The sequence below is a fragment of the Homo sapiens genome, chromosome 10 (assembly GCF_000001405.40).
Source record: "Homo sapiens chromosome 10, GRCh38.p14 Primary Assembly".
NCBI classification, from domain to species: domain Eukaryota; kingdom Metazoa; phylum Chordata; class Mammalia; order Primates; family Hominidae; genus Homo; species Homo sapiens.
The window spans coordinates 77,830,637-77,845,621 of NC_000010.11; the positions used below are offsets into that span (position 1 = coordinate 77,830,637).

At 51.3% G+C, this 14,985-nt stretch overlaps 1 protein-coding gene across 19 annotated transcripts in view, besides 5 other annotated features; it reads right to left on the reverse strand.

Moving 5' to 3' along the window:
• The window catches only part of DLG5 (discs large MAGUK scaffold protein 5), a 149,946-nt gene that overhangs the window by 39,846 nt on the left and 95,115 nt on the right, over positions 1-14,985 (reverse strand). For 18 of the 19 annotated variants that reach the window (XM_047425998.1, XM_005270276.5, XM_006718056.4 and 15 more), the window contains 5 exons: positions 12,811-13,070; positions 11,245-11,557; positions 5,102-5,286; positions 3,278-3,403; positions 105-237 (listed from right to left, as the gene is read on the reverse strand). In XM_047425998.1, the coding sequence (XP_047281954.1) occupies positions 105-237; positions 3,278-3,403; positions 5,102-5,286; positions 11,245-11,557; positions 12,811-13,070 (1,017 nt within the window). Of the gene's footprint in view, positions 1-104; positions 238-3,277; positions 3,404-5,101; positions 5,287-6,967; positions 7,109-11,244; positions 11,558-12,810; positions 13,071-14,985 lie in introns of those variants that run through there. The other variant, XM_024448250.2, reaches the window with a different exon arrangement.
• Positions 1,315-1,816: an enhancer, noted in NCBI's record as "H3K27ac hESC enhancer chr10:79591709-79592210 (GRCh37/hg19 assembly coordinates)". NCBI's record gives its function as "activates a minimal SCP1, AML or CMV promoter by ChIP-STARR-seq in primed H9 embryonic stem cells {active_cell/tissue: H9 hESC(primed)}" and the evidence as "EXISTENCE:reporter gene assay evidence [ECO:0000049][PMID:30033119]".
• Positions 1,817-2,316: an enhancer, noted in NCBI's record as "H3K27ac hESC enhancer chr10:79592211-79592710 (GRCh37/hg19 assembly coordinates)". NCBI's record gives its function as "activates a minimal SCP1, AML or CMV promoter by ChIP-STARR-seq in primed H9 embryonic stem cells {active_cell/tissue: H9 hESC(primed)}" and the evidence as "EXISTENCE:reporter gene assay evidence [ECO:0000049][PMID:30033119]".
• Positions 5,658-5,930: a silencer, noted in NCBI's record as "fragment chr10:79596052-79596324 (GRCh37/hg19 assembly coordinates)". NCBI's record gives its function as "represses an EF-1alpha promoter that drives an FKBP-Casp9 reporter gene in an ReSE screen in HepG2 liver carcinoma cells {active_cell/tissue: HepG2}" and the evidence as "EXISTENCE:reporter gene assay evidence [ECO:0000049][PMID:32094911]".
• Positions 6,352-6,972: an enhancer, noted in NCBI's record as "H3K4me1 hESC enhancer chr10:79596746-79597366 (GRCh37/hg19 assembly coordinates)". NCBI's record gives its function as "activates a minimal SCP1, AML or CMV promoter by ChIP-STARR-seq in naive H9 embryonic stem cells {active_cell/tissue: H9 hESC(naive)}" and the evidence as "EXISTENCE:reporter gene assay evidence [ECO:0000049][PMID:30033119]".
• Positions 10,875-11,376: an enhancer, noted in NCBI's record as "H3K4me1 hESC enhancer chr10:79601269-79601770 (GRCh37/hg19 assembly coordinates)". NCBI's record gives its function as "activates a minimal SCP1, AML or CMV promoter by ChIP-STARR-seq in primed H9 embryonic stem cells {active_cell/tissue: H9 hESC(primed)}" and the evidence as "EXISTENCE:reporter gene assay evidence [ECO:0000049][PMID:30033119]".

The window sequence follows — 14,985 nt, forward strand, 5'->3', positions numbered from 1 at the left end:
ACCTCCAAACTTGGAGTGGTGAAACTGGGAGATACTGCAAGCGGGTCACCGTCTCCTCCTTCATCCATCAGAGAAGGAGAGAAGAACCATCAGAGGCAGCTTACCGTCTCCCTCTCGAACTCTACAACTTCCGTTTCCCACTCCATGGAATCCGTGTCAATGGCCGAGTCGTGGGAGCTGTGGGCCATCAGCTGTCGGAACCGGGCCTCCTTTTCCAACTGGGATTCCATCTGTTCCCTGTGAACAGAGAGAGCCACGGTGACAGCCCCTTGGGAGGTGAAACATCCCACCGCGTAACGGCTCTGAACCTCACGAGGCAGGCCATTTGAAACAGCTAAAATGGGTTCCTTTCCCCCTTGTTTCCCAATAACTCAGAGTCAGGTCAAGGCTGCTGGGATATCTGTGAGTTTTCACAGTGGTTTTTTAAAAAAGACAAATTCTCCCCAAATTTATCTAGAGGTTTAACACAATTAAAATCAAAATGCCAGCTGGGCACAGTGGTTCATGCCTGTAATCCCAGCACTTTGGGAGGCCGAGACAGGCAGATCACCAGAAGTCAGGAGTTTGAGACCAGCCTGACCGACATGGTGAAACCTCGTCTCTACTAAAAATACAAAAATTAGCCGGGCGTGGTGGCATGTGCCTGTAACCTCGGCTACTCAGGAGGCAGGAGAATTACTTGAATCAGGGAGGCAGAGGTTGCAGGGAGTGGAGGTCACACCGCTGCACTCCAGCCTGGCGACAGAGTGAAACTCCATCTCAAAAAAAAAATAAAATTTAATTTAAAAAATAAAATCAAAATGCCAACAAGATTTTTGTAGATATAGACGGCTATTCTAAAATGTATACAAAAAGGCATCAGAATCACTAAAACTATTTTGAAAATGACTAAAGTGGGAGGAAACTCTCTACCCAATTTAAGACTTAGTATACAGCTACAGCAATCAAGACTGTGTGCTGCTGTCAGGGAGACAGACACACAGGTCTGTAGAACAGAATAAGGAACCTAGGAATGCCCCAAGTCACCAAAGGTGCATAAGTTAACAGAGGAAGGACAGCCTCCAACTAATGATGCTGGAGCGACTGCACATCCATGGCCAAAGAAATGTATCTCAACCTAAACCACTTAACCTCGGATAAAAGTTAACGCCAACTATATCACAAATTGAAATGCAAACTGACAGAAGCAGCAACAGAAATACCACTTAAATAGTTATATTAGGATGAAGATGTAGTTCTTAACATTTCCTTTAATGCCATTGTTACAATTTTAAAAAATGTTCACTGATGGCCGGATGCGGAGGCTCACGCCTGTAATCCCAGCACTTCAGGAGGCAGAGGTAAGTGGATCACTTGAGGTCAGGGGTTCAAGACCAGCCTGGCCAACATGGTAAAACCCCGTCTCTACCAAAAATACAAAAATTAGCCAGGTGTGGTAACATGCACCTGTAATCCCAGCTACTCAGGAGGCTGAGGTACAAGAATCACCTGAACCCAGGAAGCAGAGGTTGCAGTAAGCAAAGACTATACCACTGCACTCTAGCCTGGGCATCTCAAAAAAAAAAATTTGATAGATTTGACTTCATCAAAATTATAAATATTAGCTCAGAGAAAGACCTAGTAATGAAGATGTGAAAGAGAGACTCAGAAGCCTCGTTATATCCTCAGGTGACTTGCCTGTGACACCCTTCCTGAAATCTGGGCCCAGGCTGCCTTGCCAGCTCATGAACACTGCCCACTGGGCTCCTGACCTACTTGTGTTTCCTGCTCCAGCAGACAGGCCCCAGGGCCGCACCTTTGCCTAGGCTGTGCTCTCACCAGCCAGCTCTAGAATGCCACTCAGCCTCCAGGGCAGAGCTCCAATGCCTTCCAACACTGCCCCAGCCCCTCCCCAGGCCAGTGCAGCTGAGCTCAGCATTCATTGCTCACTATACCTGTCTCATCTGGCATTACCAGGGAGTGCCTGAGGCTTCCCAGGCAGCAACACAGACCCCCTCACCAGCATCCTGCCAGTTAGAGAACTTAGCAGACAGGAGGCACAAATGCAAACATGCTGAATGAACACACAAGCTGAATGCACAAGCTTCAGGCAACTCTGGCCCAAACAAGAGGCAAAATGTCCCATGTTCACGGCCAGAGATTCTAGGCTTTCCCTTCGAAGAGAACCCCTTGATTCCATCACATTGCTAGACCCAAGATGGTTCCTGTGAAGAGTCTTGCCTTGCCTCTTAACCCCTATAATATTCCTGAGAGCACCCAAGCTCCAGAGAGTCTGGGTTTTTATAGAATAAATGGAGCTCTTTGTCTCATTAGGAATTTTACTGAATGGGAAAGAAGAGAAGCTGTCACTCCCTTCTGACGGGCAGCACTTGAGTGTGCAAGGCTTGCACACTTGCACTCACACACGAGCTTCTCACTGCCCCCTCACCACACTAACAGCTAGGGAAATGTCGCACAATGGATGGAGAGCCACTGCTTTCCTACTAGATTTGGGTTTTAGACCACGGCCTATTGGGCTCTGCCAATTTCTATGCTTAAACCCTGATCTTTGTATTTCAATGCACTACTAAAGGCCACTGAGTGTTTAAATGACACCCTGGGAGGCTGCTGTAATCGAGGGGAGGATGTCTGACACCCCAAATGGTCTTCCAAATGGACGTCCAAATAACACAAGCAGAACAGACTGCTGGATGGGGGTTGCAATTGCCTTTAAAACTCTAATCACAATCTGTCGTCATCTTACTCATTTACGTACTTGTCTCTTAGATGGACCTGACCTTGGTCTGTGTCTCTTCCTGCGCACTGTGAGCCCATGAGGAAAGGGACTTGGTATGCTTGTCAGTGCCATTTCTCCAGTGCCTCTAATGGAGGCTGGCCCATACAGAGCAGGTACTTAAAAAATCTCTGCGAGTGAGTGAGTGAGTGAGTGAGTGAGTGAGTAGGGGAATGAATGAATGGATAACACATGCATGCCTGCCCCAGATGGACTGCTTGGGAACAGGGTCCTCCCTTCCTAGTGCCTTGGCACATGGTGCCTGCCCTGTGTCTAAGAATTTTTGGCCTAAGAATTTCTAATTAACCCTACATGGAGATGACATTCGAACCCATTCTACACACTGACAGAGTAAGGCAGAGTGAAGTGAAGGGACAAACAGCCAGCTCGACGCAGAAGGATGAGGCCCTGGCCAATGCACTCAGCATTGCCTTGCCCAGAAGGGAGAGGGGCCCCAGGCTCCCAGATGCATGCCCACTCCAGCGGGTGCCCACCCGAGCCTACTTGAGCTCCTTCAGCTCGCGGCTGACATCATTCTTCTGCTTGCGGGTGTCATCCAGGCTGCGCAGGGCCTCAGCCAGCTCGCTCACCGCACGGTCCCGCTCCCGCCTCAGGTTGTCACACAGTGTCCTGGTGGAAGGAGCAGAGGACAAGGTCATCTCAAGAGGCATGGGGAAGGGGGTTCCTGGTCTGCAGCGGATGGTCTGGCCACCTCACTCCAAATACCTGCCGGCACCTATCCCATCCCCAGATGCACAGGAACACTTGGGAATCTAGGGGTAAGACCACCTAGGCCAGCCCCAGTGCATGACAGAGGGAATGTGGAGGACCTGGGCAGGGAAGAGACACCCCCACAGTCACCCGGCAACAAGTGTCAGGTTCCCAATGCCCTGTTTCACCCTCAATGTGCCTGGGGTTAAGGACCACCCTCTGCACACACTCACTGTTCTAATGCCAACTTGGGGAGCCAGGGGGTGGCTCTCCTCTGCATGAAGCACCCCCCACCTGCCTGGCAGGCCTGTGCTCCAGCACTACCACATGTCTCATATCTACCCACAGGCAGAGCTTTCTAGAGCTGTCCCTGTACCCTGCAACTAGGAAGGGAGCCCCTTCGGATACCAGCCAGTCCTCATGCATCTCTGTCTCTATTAGCTCTGTGCAGGTGCAAAGTACAAGCTTGGCAAGACTCTATGAAAGAGGACCCCAAGGAGGTGGAAACAGATTACCTGGCTGTGGAGGGGCCTGGGCTCTGTGCCACCTCCAGAAATGGACATACCCAGAGGACTGGTTCCTACCTCTCCACAGCCTCGAATCTCCCCCAGCCTCAGTCAGAGCCTGGCTGAGGACTGCCCCCTGGAGACACCCGTGGAAGGGGTCTGAGCAGAAGCAGACAGGAAGCAGCCCCTGGGCCTCCCTCCCCTTGCACTGGGCACCTAACTGTGCTCTCCATTAGCAGGGCCTCACCACCTAGCCATCCTCATCTCCTGACCAGCCCCTAGAGACATTGGTCTCTCCCCTGACAAACCACAAGAAATCTTTTGGACACCTCCCAAATAGCAAGACATTATCTCTCCCCACCCCAAACATCACCACCACCATAGCCTCTCCTGGTTCCTCCCCAGCCAAGGATCAAGCCCACACTGCTTGGCTTCCCTTTCAAGGCCTCTACACCTGCCCCTGGGAATCTCGCCAGCCTGCCCTCCCCACGACTTGCCCACGTCCCTGCCCTGAGCACACTCCACAGGTGCCCTCCATCTGCAATGCCCTTCCCCCTTTTCCACCTGGAAAAACCCCACTCATGCTTCCAGTTCTAGTGCGAATGCCACACTCTCTGGGGAGACCTCCCCACACCCCAGGGAGCCCTGCATGCCCCCCACAGCCCTAGAGCTCAGTTACACATCTTCCTCCCTCACTGCCGTGCCTGACCAAGCCTCTCCCAAGGTCTCCTTGCTCCAGAGATCTAAGACCCTGGCACACAGTAGGCGCCCGGTGAATACTGCTGAAAGGACACACTTCGGATGTGCTCTTCTCATCAGAAACCCTCAAATAAAAGAGGTCGGCCTCGTGCCCCTTCACAGCGGTCTCACGTGGACATAGTACACACTTGGGACACCTAGGGCTGAGTGAGATGGGAGGGAGAAACAATGGAAAATTCTAAAACTAAGAGGCAAGGCTAGGGCATCAACTAGGGGTGAGAAAGGAGGAGCCCAGGTCCCTCCCACTTTACCTGGACATACAGTAAATGATTCCGACCCTCCCAACAGACCCTAGCAGGTCCCCTCATCCTGGGGAGACGCAAGCCCACGCCAGCTTGAGGTCACCCCATACCGGATGCTGTCACGCTCTGCTACAATCTTGTCTCGCTCCTGGAAGGCCCAGTCCCGCCGGCACTTGGCCACATCCGCCTCCTGGAGGGCTTCCTTCAGCTCCTGGCACAGAGCCTTGCACTGCTTTCGAAGGATTTCAACCTCCTTGTTGGCTCTCCCAGCATCCATTGTCACCGTGTCTTTGATCTGGTGGGAGCAAGGGGCAGGAAGAGGGAGAGGTTGCTGAGCCTCATGGACCAGGAGCGCCTCCCACCAGTGCGGGGGCCAAGGCTGAGGCTCTAGGGAGCTGGATGGAGGGAAACACGGAGCCCATCGCAGCACACCCCATACCCCCAGTGACTGCACCCCACAGCCACGGTCCTATTAACCAGCACCCCCTAGCCCCCGCCATGTCTGTGATCCTATAATCTGGCATACTGAGTTATTTTTAAAGACAAAAATACACCAGTATTCCTGCTGGTGAAGTGCTGTGTATCTCAGTTCATTTAAAAAGCTGAAATCCAAAGCATTTGCATCTTGACACATCCCTAGAGAGTTATATGCTCCACTAAAATTTCAAGTCAAACTCTTAGTAGCACTCATATGAAAACCCCCTCCACACCTCTATAATCCTTAGACAACACAGGGAAATGACGGATGACAAAGCAAGTGTTTACTGCAAGAATAACTCCTCCTCCCGCTTGAGGCTTTCCAAACATGCAAAAGAGAAGCACGACAGCAGAGGCGCTGATGACACTGGTGTCCCCGCCCCGAGACTCTCCACCCCCAAGTGCTAGGACACAGGAAGACACACACGCACAGGAAGAAAGCTTCCGTTCCCTCTAAAGATCATTCTCCAGACAGCAGGAGACAGCAGCCTCTACAAAAATGTGTTCAGAAAGATCTCAGACGTAGAAAACAAGAGAAGAGAATGAAGTTGACAAGAAAACACCTGGAGTCAGTTGATAATTCCCCTCATCTCTGAAAACAGAGGCAGAGGAGCTGAAAAATAATTTGCACAAAAAGGACCATCAAAACTCGAGGGTGACAGTGCAGTGGCAGGCTTTCCTCAGACCTCACGGTTTCTGGGGGTCATTCAAATCATTTCAGTTTTGATTTTTTTTTCAGCTTTACATGGTATGCTGTGTTTGTTTAGTTTGCTATTTTCAAAAAAAAAAATCCTTCTTAAATTTTCATTTTAAAAAGAATTATTTGGGGGCAGGGTACAGTGGCTCACACCTGTAATCCCAGCACTTTGGGAGGCCAAGGCAGGCAGATCACATGAGATCAGGAGTTTGAGACCAGCCTGACCAACATGGTAAAACCCCATCTCTACTAAAACTACAAAAATTAGCCAGACATGGTGGCATGTGCCTGTGGTCCCAGCTACATGGGAGACTGAGGCAGGAGAATTGCTTGAACTTGGGAGACTGAGGTCTCAGTGAGCCCAGATGGCGCCACTGCACTCCAGCCTGGACAACAGAGGGAGACTCGGTCTCAAAAAAAAAAAAAAAAAAAAAAAAAAAGTGTATTAATTTAGTCAAGAATTTATGATAAACAATACTTTGAAAAATTTACATTATATTTGCTGTTTTACAATATATTTATGGATAGTTTTAGAGCTGACACGTTACCACGTGGATTCCCTGAAAGGTTTCTCCATGGTGCTCTAGATGAGCATCTAGGAGGGAGGCCCCAGGTGCAGACAGGACGACAGGCAGCGCAGGAGGTGGGCAGCTCCCCCAGCCCACAGCTCCCTTCCTTTCCCTGGGCCCCACACCATTGCTGGTATCCAAAATGAATTCATCCCCAAAATACTGCTTCCTTATAAGGAATACAAGAAGTACTATACTTAGTTTTAGTGAGAGGGGAGAGGGAAATGAGGTACCTTAAACAAATGGTAAAATTTGGAAGCCCAGAGGACCCAAGTGACGGACTGACTGATTCTGATTACACTGGTGAGGAACCGCAGGATCTAGAAGTGACTCGCCAGGGCTCCCCCATCCTGCAGAGCTGATCAGTACTGGCTCCTCTACCCCAGGCTGCCTCGGCATCAGATGTCAGTCTGAGTCTGCTCTAAAAGCGCCACCTGCAGTCTCTTTCTTCCTGTGCTGGGTGAACAAAGGCGTGGGAAGAGATGGGCTAGTCTTCACAAGACACTTGCCAGACCCAGGCATGAGGCCAGTGAGAAAGGCCTATGGGCTGCAACCCAGCCCCAGAGGGCCAGAGCCCACTCGAGAGTCCCAGGGGAGGATGGGGCCCGAGTGTGGAGTGGTGCCCCTGAGCAGATGGCTCTCGGGTGAGGGCACCTCCCTCTGCTTCCTGGGAAGCTTCTCTTGCTACAACAGCCCTCTGCCTCTAAGTTCTGGAAAGGCCACTGCTGCCTTGCCTTGTCCCCTGGCACTGTCCAGTCTATCCACCACAGCTGAGCTCAGCTCCTCAAGCAGGACCTGTAGCTGCATGTGTAACTGCATTCAGGGCAGCAGACGGCAGGAGCATGGGGGGCTGCCCTTCTACAGACGGAACTCGGTGAGCAGGGCCCGTCTAGGAAAGTGCGTTGGAACCTGGGAGATTTCTGCAACAGACAGCAGTGGCCTACAGCTTCCAGTGGTGCCGACCTCAACTCCCCAGGCAGTTCCTCCCTCCTCCTGGGAGCAATGAGACTTCCCCGGACAAGGTCAGCTACTGGCCTGAGGCAGGAGGGCGGCCTTAGGGGAGCTCCCGAGGATATCTCTCCCCTGGGAGCTGGGAAGAAGAAGGCGAGGGAGGCAAGGGCACAGCCAACCTGGCAAAGATCCTGACAGGCCCCCGGCCTCCCCATGCTACCTCTTTGCTCCCTCTTTGCCTCAGCCCACTCAGAACACAGAAGGGAGAGAGGGCATAGAGAAGGAAAGGGGAAAATGGAGCAAGACGTGCAGATAGAAGACAGAAGCGTGCAAGCACGATGCCAGAAACTGAAGCCCAGCCCTCGGGCTGAGCAAGATGAAGATGGCTCTGCGGTGAGGGAGCTAGACCTGCCAGAAGGCCCCCCACAGCTGACCCCTGACAGGCAGCAGCCAGTGGGGTGGCGGGGCCAATCCCCAGGGTGCCTCACTGCCCACCCCTCCTGGTCTGCTCTTGCCGGTGGAGAGTGCTCTCTTATCCATGAAGCCAGACCAACTTGAGAAGGAGCTGAGGATTTCAGCTCTCAGAGCTGATGGGGCAGCCGCGGGGGCTCTCTCCTGCCTGCTGACTCGGAACAGGGCCTGGAAAAGATCCCTGCCTCAGCTGACAGGTGCACTTGATGCCCAGTCAACACCCCCTGTGGAGGATGGAGGCGGGCTCCAGGCTGAATGGCTCGCCTGAGTGCTGGGAATGCGGTGGTTGCCGCAAGGACGTCAGGCCTGGAGGTCTCATTGCTGGACGCCAGCACCACAGGGAACTCAGGTGTTCTTTGTGCATCTCTGTGCTTTCTATATTTCTACAAACAGTCTTCACGATTAACTTCAAAGATCTCAAAACTTGGCCAGGCGCAGTGGTTCAGGCCTGTAATCCTAGCACTTTGGGAGGCCAAGGTGGGTGGATCACCTGAGGTCAGGAATTCGAGACTAGCCTGGCCAACAGAGCGAAACCCCGTCTCTACTAAAAATACAAAAATTAGCTGGGCGTACTGGCAAGTGTCTATAATCCCAGCTACTCAGGAGGCTGAGGCAAGAGGATCGCTGGAACCCGGCAGGTGGAGGTTGTAGTGAGCCGAGATCGTGCCACTTCACTCCAGCCTGGGCAAAAGAGGGAAACCACATCTCAAAAAAAGAAAGAAAGAAAAAAGAAAATCTCAAAACTCCATCCACACGGGCTCGCTGTTATTCCCCAGGCGTGTGTCTGACATTCTGTGACATTTCAGAGCAGTTACTGACTCGGTCATTTTCCAAGTTTCCTTCTTCATCATTTTGTTTTCCTTATTTGATATTGACATTTTCCCCAAAAAATTATGTGCTCAGATACCAGGATGTGAACATGAGTTCACGGTTTTTCTAGGATGATTACCAAATTCTAATGCATTATCTTTACTTATTAAAAATTTATTCTAATAAGCTTTTCAAAAATTTCATTGCAGTAAATATTTCTCTTCACACTGGCTTTTGCCTCAAGGGTCTGGAGAAGTCTTGGTGGTTCCTTGTATGAAATTCCCATTACTTGGCTGGCCCATTTTTACCCACAGAAACAGTTTAATGAGGTTCACCCTAATCCTAACAGAGGAGTAAGATTCAGACGGGCATAATAATGAATGCCCATCTCAACTCACTGTTGCTTTGTGCAGGCACAATGATGTATTTTCTATATTGAATCATTTGTTCATCATGACCACCATTCCATTGTGCAAATGAAGAAACTAAGGCTGGCTGGGTGCAGGGGCTCACGCCTGTAATCCTAGCACTTTGGGAGGCTGAGGCAGGAGGATCGCTTGAGCCCAGGAGTTTAAGACCAGCCTGGGCAACATAGTGAGACCGCATCACTACAAAAAAATTAAGAATTAGCTGGGTGAGCTGGTGCTCGCCTATAGTCCCAGCTACTTGGGGGGTCTGAGGTGGGAGCATCACTTGAGCCCAAGAGGTCGAGATTACAGTGAGCTATGATTGTGCCACTGCACTCCAGCCTGGGGAACAGAGAGGCTGTCTCAATAAAAAAATAAAAAATAAATTAAAAATAGAAACTGAGGCCCAGAGGCCAGGCACAGTGGCTCACCAGGCGGTGAATTATACTTGTAATCCCAGTACTTTGGGAGGCCGAGGCGGAAGGATCGCTTGAGTCCAGGAGTTCGAGACCAGCCTGGCCAACATGGCAAAGCCACGTCTCTAGTAAAAATACAAAAAATTAGCCGGGCGTGGTGGCACATGCCTGTAATCCCAGCTACTTGGGAGGCTGAGGCACGAGAATTGCTTGAACCCAGGAGGTAGAGGTTGCAGTGAGCCGAGATTGCGCCACTGCACTTCAGGCTGGGCAACACGAGACTCAGTCTCATAAAAAAAAAGAAAGAAAGAAACGGAGGCCTAGAGAGGTTCGAGACCACATGACTGAGGAGGGCCATCTCCCAGCAAGGGGCCTGTGTCTCATGCATTCCCCACATCCCCTACCACTGCCCAGGCCTGACGAGGAGTTGCTGTCGGTTGAAAGACATGCTGGTCACCCCCTGGGCATCACCTGCCTCACACTTGGTACAGCAGGACCTGGTAGTAATGATCCAATGCATACCAGCCCTGCCAATCTGCCTGACCTTTAAACGCCTTGCTTTTTGCTTCTCATAAACCACCTTTGAAAGCTGCATTCTAACTGACCTGCACAGAAAGGCAGAATAGAGGGATGTGAATATCTGAGAACTATTCTGATAGGAAAAAAATCTGCTGTGATCAAGTCTAGAAGCTCTAATCAGAGCCACACACAACACAGACTGAAGGGAATCTCCATGGGCCCATCCAAGCCCCCGCAGGGCTCAGCTAGACCTAGGGCAAGGAGCTCCGCGATGAGGAGAGGTTGACAGGTAGGAAGGAGACAGAAAATCCACATTGGCCACCCAGGAGTTGAGCTAGGTGGCCCAATCTAGTGCTACCAAACATCCCAGCCCCCCAACCCTGGAGGTGTGGCCCCCAGAGAGCAAGGCTTTAGGAGAAGAATGTTGGGCTCAGCCTACTAGCACATCTTCCCAGCAGGAGCCTGAAATACTTTTTCAAGAGCAGACTCGTGAGATGCACACTGCTGGTGAAAAAGGGCCCCTGAGGGTGCTCTTCCAGACACAAGAGGCCTAACGTATCTATGGCTTTGGGAACTTGGCCTTGGTATCTTGCTTCATAATAAGCAAGTCCTTGAGATATCACTGACTTCAGCATGGGACTGATCTGCAATTACGTAGCAATGGGTTTGGGTGTGAGTGTTGGTGTGTAAGCTCCGGGCAGCCATGACTGTGTCTGGGTCTCCCTCCCGCCTTGTCCCCTGTAATCCAGACTAGAGCTGGGCATTAAGCATGAGCTCAGGCAGTGTCTGATAACCCAGCTTGCACTTAGGCCTCCAGTGAGAAGCCATTTACTCCAACTCAGGAGGCTTCTAATCCGGACACCACGCACTCTGCAGCCCCTCTTCCCGGGATGCTGTAGGAGAGGCTGAAAGCCAGCCACCGGCCCACCCACCTACCTGCCGCAGCGCCTCCATCTCCTCATTGGCCGCCTTCTTCTCAGATGTGCTGCTCTTGAGCTTGGACTCGGCCAGCTCCACTTCGGTCTGCAGCTTGTCCAGCTCAGAGATGACCTGGTCACGCTCACTCATGATGAGCTTGTACTCGCTGTACACAGCGTCCCGCTCCTCCCTGTATTTCTCCGACTCCTTTGCTGTCTTCACCTGCGTGGTTCTCAGCTCGGTCAGCTCTGACTGCAGCAGCTCCATCTCCCACTGCAGGTCCTTGTTCTGCGCCGTGGCCTTGTTCAGCTCATGGTGGATCGCCTCAAACCTGGCAAGAGAGGTGGCGAGATGTGGGAAGGGCGGGGGCCCTGCCCGGTCAGTGGCCGGCTGCGCTGCTGCCTCCCGCCAGCTCTACTGTGCTGGACAGTCAAGCGTGAAGTTTCAAGTGAAGTCACTCTCTCCACCCCCAGGAGAGAAAAGTCATGGAGTACCAGTGCCCCCGGACCTGGAATTTTTCTCAGCCCTTTACAAATGCCAGGAGTTGAACTGAGGACTTCATGCCCTCCACTCCACTAGAAACAACAGCATATTTCTCCCACAGTCAAGCCACATTAATTTTTTAAAATAATAAAAACAAAACAATGCCAGGATAACAGCATAAAGAGGCCTTAACGATCATTTAGTCAAACCGCCTCATTTCACAGATACGAACAGTACAGCCCTGTGACAAGGTCATCAAGTTCGCTCGAAGAGCACAGCTCTGTCCTTCCAGGCCGGGGGACATCTTCCACACAGGCAGCCTGCAAATCAGAGCCCATGGCTCCAGACCAGCAATTCTCAGTGTGCTCCATAGACACCGGTTCTGCATGGAGCTCCATTACCCCCAAAAAAGTATATTATCTGATGACTTATGTTTGGGAAACTCTGCATCTTGGCCCCCTCTTGGAGAGTCTGTCTACTGCACAACACCACGCTGAAGGCTCTGAGAAGTCCTGCAGCAGAGACATCTGTCTGGGTTCAACCTGGCAATGCTCAAACCTATTTATCCCCAAAGAGCACTTTTCATGTGAAACTGCTACATGCCCCAGAGAACTGGTGATTCACAGGCACATCCTCTACAAAACACTGTTTGAGGGCATATATCACATCTCTAAAGATGACAGAAGACACATGCCCCAGATAATTAACTTTCCTATTTGCTAGGTGGGTGACTGCCACAGAGGGGAGAGGCACATGACAGTGACCAAAGAAACAGGATGCTCAGAACACACCAGTATTTATTAAGTATTGTGCAGAGCAGTTAACACAGCAGACCCGAGATTTCTACACGCTCAGAAAGGCCCGCTTGCAAGGCTAACCACTGAATGGTGTCCGTGAACCCGAAGGTAAACAGGGATGTTCAGATGGGAAGAGGGAGCCACGATTCCCAAGACACATTCAGTGTCAAAAAAAAATGTTTCCTGGTCAGAAGCATTTTTTGATTGAAAAAGCACAATAACTCATGCTGTTCTCATCCCCTGGTGGTGGCTGGGAACCTTATAGGACCCATTTGCCCCCGGCCCCCGATGGCCCTAGCCCTACCTCCTCAGGGAGAGGGCGCACTGGTGCTGCAGCTGGATGGCCGTGTCCCTCTGCTGGGTCAGCATCTCTGTCTGCTTCAGCAACCGCTGGTTCTCCTCCCCCAGCTGCTCCAGGCGGCTCAGGTCTGCATTGTGGATGGCGACTTTCTCACTGTACCTCTTCCGAAGGGCGTCATAGTCCTTCTTGACCACCTCCAACTTGTCCATGGCCGTGTCATACAGTTTGTTGAGAATCTCGGATGACCCGTTGTGCTTCAACACCTGGAGACCAGACAGTTTCACTTACCAAGGGTCTGTGGGAGGTGGCGGAGGAGACCTCCCACTCTCACTTTTGTCTATCTGAGGGTGAGACTGATGACAAGGCGGTTGGGGGGAGGGGGTTACCCTAAAGCTTTTGAGAGTCTTGAGGTCCAATTCTCCAGGCCCTGCAGTCACACTGGGCTGATTCATTTAGATTCACTCAGTCACAACTATTTACTAAGTATTGTGCAGAACAGTTAACACAGCTGACCTGAGACTTCTATATCCTTAGAAAGGCCTGCTTGCAAGGTTGACCCTACCGAATGGCGTCTAGGAACCCGAACAGTAAACAGTTCTCTAGGCTGATGTAAAACTTTTCTTCTGGTGATATAAGCAGCTCTGGTACTGAGCCTGTACAAATAAAGTGGCTTATGCTGAACACCTGCTTTCTACTGGGAGTCCAGAATCTGGGTACATGGCAGGCAGAAGTTCCTACATGACCAGCCCCCAATAAGACACTTGAGCACTGAGTCTCTAATGGGCCTCCGTGGAGGCCAGCACTTCTTGTGTGTTGTTGTGATTCCATGCTGGAGGAATTAAGTGCCTCCGGTGAAACTCCACCAGGAGAGGATTCTTGGAAACTCAGGCCCAGTTTCCCCTGGACTTTGCCTCACGCGCCTTTCCCCCTTTGCCGACTTTGCTCTGTGTACTTTTGTTGTAATAAATGTCAGCCATTGAGTATAATTACATACTGAATCTTTTGAGTCCTCCCAGAAAGTGACATAGCCCAGAATCAGGTTATGTAAATCGGACCTAAAGACTCTCAAAAGCCCTAGGGTGACCCTCCATGGTGTAGGGTCCCCCCGCATCCCATGCAAGTACCTAATATGTCTAGCACTGGTCTAGGGGCTGGTGATGCCAGACAGGACAGAAAGACGCTGTGCCCTGTGGGCCTTTTATCCTAATTTGGAGGGTGTGGACACACAGATAGGCCAAATAAAGTAACTTCAGAGCAAGGTAAGAACTATCAAGAAAATAAAAAATAAAACAGAATAATGGGCTGGAGAGAGCCATCTGAGCAGCAGAGTGGAGGTCTGTGAGGGAGGCTAAGGCTGAAGAGGCTTCTTGAAGAAGGCGACTTCAGAGGCAAATGAAGAAGAGCAGCGAGAGCACACTGGGCAGAGAGGGGGGCAGGGTCAAAGGCCCAGAGGCAGGGCCTGCAGGCGTGTTCTAGAGACAGAGAGGGGCAAGGCGGAGTAGCAAGAGCCCAATGCACAGGGGGAGGTGGGTTCAAAGGGGACCTGGAGAAGTGGGTGTGGGCATGGGGGTGGCCATGGCCGCAGGCCTCACAGTGAAGACTGTCTCCTGAGTGAGACAGGAAGCTGTGGAGGGTTTTAAGCTAGACAGCATTCTACTCTAAATGACAGGCACTAAAGTTCATTTGGGGTGCTGTTATAGAGAAAAAAACAAACCAAGAAGATGAGTTAAGAGGTTGCCAGGGGGGCTGCTGGCTTTGGCTAAGCACCTCATGGGATCTGAGCCCTGGGGTGAGTCACTCCACCTCTCTGGGTTTCAGCTTCCGGATTCCTCAAATGCCCAGGCTAGACCAGGAAAGCTTGTCTGGCCCTTCCAGCTCCAACAGCCGAGGAATCACCTGGCTCATTCAGTGGCAGCCTGGTTTATCAAGCGTTTGCAGCCTAGAGAACCAGAAGCTGGGACGATGGAACACTCCCTTTGGAATTAGGGTCAGCTCTCAATAAACACGAAAAACACAAAAAGCAAAAGAGGGCTTAATTTAAAAGTCAGAATCATAGCAACAAGAAAGTAAGGTCTTCCTCTAAGACCTAAGCATTAGATTCTAGGACTGTAGACTCTTAAAGAGGAAGTCAAGGAAGAGGGAGAAATGGAGGGAAGGAGGGAAGAAGGGAAGGAAGGA